The 5,016-nt window shown below is 41.9% G+C and overlaps 2 annotated features.

Moving 5' to 3' along the window:
• Positions 2,908-3,517: an enhancer, noted in NCBI's record as "OCT4-NANOG-H3K27ac hESC enhancer chrX:138306638-138307247 (GRCh37/hg19 assembly coordinates)". NCBI's record gives its function as "activates a minimal SCP1, AML or CMV promoter by ChIP-STARR-seq in naive and primed H9 embryonic stem cells {active_cell/tissue: H9 hESC(naive and primed)}" and the evidence as "EXISTENCE:reporter gene assay evidence [ECO:0000049][PMID:30033119]".
• Positions 3,518-4,126: an enhancer, noted in NCBI's record as "OCT4-NANOG-H3K27ac hESC enhancer chrX:138307248-138307856 (GRCh37/hg19 assembly coordinates)". NCBI's record gives its function as "activates a minimal SCP1, AML or CMV promoter by ChIP-STARR-seq in naive and primed H9 embryonic stem cells {active_cell/tissue: H9 hESC(naive and primed)}" and the evidence as "EXISTENCE:reporter gene assay evidence [ECO:0000049][PMID:30033119]".

The following is a 5,016-nucleotide window of genomic DNA, read 5'->3' on the forward strand; positions in this document are numbered from 1 at the left end:
ACTTCCAAGATTTCTTCTAGCTTTAAGATTTTAAGTTTGTGTTATTTGCACACCATCTACCTTGAAGATGGGCAAAAGGAAAAAAGTGGGCAGGGGAAACGAAGTTCAAGGATCAGTCTAATTCATCTTTCTAAAAAATGCACAGACACAGATGATTCTGAGGCTGAAGGTTTGTTTCCTAAAGCCATGTGATATTTTAAGATTGTCATTTTCCTTTAAGTAAAGTATATCTGTTACTAAAGTGTCTCTTCATTTTCATGAAAACACCTCAGTTTGGCTAGTTGGAATGTTGGCATAGTAATTTGTTAGCAAATGCTCAAAAGTCAACTTTGAGCAAGAAATTGCTAGTGTTTAACCTTCCAACAGCCAAGCTTGCTTCTTTTCCTCTCAGAGGGTGTCTAACCTCACCCCCAGAAGTTTCTAGCTCCCCTTCAATTCCAACTCCTTCCCTAATGCCCACTGCTATAAACAGGCCAGAAATCAGAGATGAGTTCTGACAGCAATATTTCAGGAAGGAAATGGAATCCAAGCAAGTCTTTTGTGTACCTGGGTCGGAGTCTCTCTTTCACAAGGTCTGTCTGAACTATAGGAATTCCTGCCCTGTGCAGCTCTATATTACTCTCCACTACTGCACAGCAGACAAGGAAAACACAGATAACCAGTGCTCTGATCCAAATTCACATTCACACAGTAATGAGTCAGGAAGGACAAGGCACCTAGAATAGAGCAGCTCCAGGTAGAGTAGTTGATAAAGGGTTAAATTTAACATTGAGGTGCTTTCTTTTTAGCTAATTCCTTAGCTTTTGGGTGAGAGGGTACAAGGAAAGGAATTAATTCCCAAACATTACTGTGCCTTGATCAGTGTGTTGGGAGCATGGAGTTGTATTTTTATTTGTAGGCCATGTCCTGCCCAGACATTTGTCTCCCCACCCTAGGCCAAGGAAACCTGGGCCTGGGTTACCTAAGAGGATACCAATTCCCGTAGCATTTTCCCAATGAGTTTGGTTTCACCTACCTTAGAAGTGGAGACGCAATGGGCCTGGTGGTGAGAAACAAGCAAGATCCCACCATGGACCAAAATCTTAAAGGGCCCTGTTGTTATTAGCGCCCACGGTCACTTGCTCCCAGGCCAGGGGTAGGAAGCTTCTTGGTCATGTCGTCACTGTGAGTTTCTGCGGTTTGCAATAGTCTGCATCTGAGCCAAAGCACCCCCAACACCCTAATCCCCTCCTGGCTTCAAGGGCTCCAGGCTGGAAAAGCAAATAGTCCAGAGTGATTGCAGGGGCCAGTGGACCCTATGCAGTTCATATCAGACTGTTCTGAGGAGTGGTAAGTCACAGGGTCTATATTGCAGCTATTTTTAGTGAAACTGAATTCCTTCCCCAAGTTCTCTTGCTTCCAACTTGTTCTAAGTGTAGGAGACCAGCTGTGGTCAGATCATCTTACTGGACCAAGGCTCTGTCAAGGCGAAGGGACCAAACCAGGGAGGTGGAGCAAAGAGCTCACGGCTGTTGGTGCTTTGGCCCTTTCTCACTGTCTCAGACATCTCCAGAGCGGTAGGATCCTTTGGAAAGGAAAATGTCACTACCCAGGGGAGTGGGCATTCCCCTCCAATCTGGCAGAAACTTGATAGGTAGATGACATGAGAGGGAAATATCGAGAAATTGGCAAATCTTTCTGTTTTTTCCCCTCAATTTGTAAACACACACACACACACACACACACACACACACACGTCAGATTCTACAGGCCAAACCCAGGTCTTGGACAGACTTGCCAGAAGGGTCTAGAAAAGAATGTCATCATCCATGAGCCAGGCCAGAGGTGAAAGTATGAGGAGCACTGGTGCCTAGTCACTTTCCAGCTGTCATTTATTGTTCTAAGAGGGAGTTTTAATGGGGAAAAAAATTCCAGGAAGATTTATTTTGGCTTTGAACTTTGGCAAGAAGTGTTAATTCATAAGAGGCAGTTCTCTGGGCTCCTGAGGGTGCTAATTTCTTTCCCTGGCTTCATCTAGGTAAGTATTGTACCAGCTGTGGGCTATGACCCATTAGACAGTAATGAAATCTATCTAGTGGGGCATAATCAGCATTAAAAAATGAAAAGAAATAAAATGTATAAAATAATTTTTAAAAGTTTCACAGAAAATACTCACTGTTAGTATGTGCAATGGAGTGTATTCCACATAGTATGTTCTGTAAAACTTTTGTTTCTTCTATGTACATGTGTACTCAATCGCTGCATAAAATGTATTTTTTTACTCTTGGTCACCATAAAATTCTACTTTTTTGGAAAACACTGATTTCGATGATTTGGTAGAGAAGCGCATGAAGATAAATCATTTAGCACTCCCAATTTTATGAATACTACTACTGTTACTATAATCACTATTTTAGGGGTGTTCATTATATGTCAAGCATTATTCTAAGGGTTTCATTTTCATCATTTTCTTTAGTTGTTATCACAACCTTCTGTGATAAATTTATCTCAGTTTCACAGAAGCAACAGCAGAGGCTCAATATCAAGTTCAAGACCTATCAAGAGGAAGTGCTGGGGTATAAAGGTAGGTCTGTCTGTCTCCAAAGTTTGTGTTCTTAAAAATTCTAGACCACTTCTCTCCTTAATTGGCCAATACAGAGTTAATTCCGTTTGTTAAACAGATTTGAAAACCTTGGCTGTGCTGGTAGCTTTGTATAAAATCAAATGAAAATGTTTAGTAAAATAATTTCAGATCCCTAGAAACTTCTAGTAACCTCTTATTTAAAAAGATGGTTTAATTTTGAATTACTTACCTATTTTACTCAGAACCTCACACCCCAAACTGAGCCTCAAGATTCTCTAATGGACATCTGAAAGATCAGAGGAAGGAATATGATTTTAAGGTATTCTATTTTCATGGCCTTACCCCTCTAGTTACTTCCATTCTATTCCACACAGAAATCTTGTCCCAGGGCGCATTTGGTTTTTGTCTTTTTATAGTTTGAGCTAAATCAGTTCAACCACTTTTTGAGTTGATGAGGAAAAAAATCATAGTTATTCCACTTCCAAAATAAGCTTCTCTTTTTGGGTACACAGAAAGCTCAGAAAAGGCTGAAACTTTCAAACTTCCCACTTCACATATGGGGACTACTAGGTCCTCATTACTTTCAAATTTACTTTAAAAATTCCTAGTGATTTGCTCATTTTGCAAACTCCTATGTTCTGTTGTCATTTTTGTAATTTCATGGCACATACTCTGCGTGCATGCCCAATATGTTATAGACCAGAGGTACTGGTTTCCATGAACTGGTTTCATGTGGAAAGTGTGTTTGTGGGGAGAGGGAGAAAGGTTAAGTAAGAGGAAAATATTGAATACAGCCTCCTGCAGAGCCCCTGTGGGAGTGCAGGTTAGATGAACGATGCCCCAAAGGGAAGTGTTTCCTGGCTGCTTGTGTGGATCAGAGCTACACCACATGGCTACTGGCTTCAGAACGGTATTTTCTCCAAACCAGGGAAAGCTGAAACCTGACCTAACTGGTGATTAGCTTCTCTGTAGTAGATCCTGGCCTCTCATCAGAGCTTCTCTGATCTTCTTTGTTTGGAATGAAAACTAATTGACTCGTAAACACATGCGGAATTTCCAGGCAAGAAGTTCTCCATTGTTACCAGTGACATGGCCAGACGCTGGGGTCACAGGTGCTGTCAGGAATCCAGCCCAAATCTCAGCTCCCCACCATGCAGGCCCTGCAGCTTCCTGGCTGGGCTTGGCTCTTAGGGGCAGACATTAACCCCCACCTGTAGCCACATCCTTCCGATGCTTTTCAAAACAGGAACAGTTGTCTCAGTCCTCGCATTCTCCTGGCTATTCTATTTTTGCCGGGATGGAATAGGATATTGCAGGGCTTCTCCGGCCAGAGCTGGGCAGACTTGTCTAAAGGGAGCCCAGTACTCCCTGCCCCAGGGTTCCCCACCCCAGGGCATGCTCCTGGCTGTATCTGTTCCAGTCACCACATTCATGGAAGCAGTGTGGAAAGGGGCTCTACTTAGCAACCTCACCACTCTGCTGAAAGCTTCGATGAACAAAAGGACATTTAATAATAGAATTCCTCCTCTAGTATTTATAGCACCAATTGCTCAAAGCTGTTTTCGGTTTTATTTTTTAAATTCAAGCCTTTGTCACAACCTCCCCAGGAACTGCAGCAGAAGCCAGGTATTAGCAGCTCCACTTCGCAGACCAGGAGACTGAGGGATCAATGGAGAGAGACTCTTCCAAGTATGGACAACATGCAGAGACAGCTGAGAGCTGTCTATGTCTGAAAGCACACAGCCCGTTCAAACACTGTGCCAGGATGATGAGGCGGTGGTCCTTAACTCACTGACTCACTAACTTGATCATCCATTCACCTAACATTAAGTTCTGATTATTTCCTAGCCACTGCACTAGGCACCAGGGATGCAGAGATGAATATGTTATGCTCTCCTGTTTCTTCAACAAATAAATTTCAAGGAAACAAAAGGAGGGCAAACTTAATGATTGAAAGAGATTTGAAATATACATGAACCAAATGTAATGTGTGGACCTTGTTTGGATCCTGAATCAAACATACCAAATTCAAGAACACATTTATGAAACAAGAGGGAGTGGATATTTAGTCGTTAAGGAATTGTTCTTAATTTTTTAGATGTGATATAGTTACTGTGTTGAAATTACCTTACCATTTAGGGTTATATACCATAGCATTTATAGATGAAATGACATGATGGTTGAACTTAAAGGGAATGGGTAGGGATATAGAATAACCAAGAATGCCCTTGAGTTGATGATTGTTGCAGCTGAATAATGGGTATAGGGTAGTTAATTGTACATTTCTCTTTAGTTTTGTGTGTGCTTGAAAATTTCCACAATAGATGCATATTTTTAAAATAGAAGTCACGGTATGGTAGCTGCCTTCAAGGAATTCCCAGAGTCTACATTCCCCGGAGACCCTTACTGACAGCCATTTTTGATGAGCCCACCCTCTCCTGAGTTAGAGAGGT

The sequence above is a fragment of the Homo sapiens genome, chromosome X (assembly GCF_000001405.40).
Source record: "Homo sapiens chromosome X, GRCh38.p14 Primary Assembly".
NCBI lineage: Eukaryota > Metazoa > Chordata > Mammalia > Primates > Hominidae > Homo > Homo sapiens.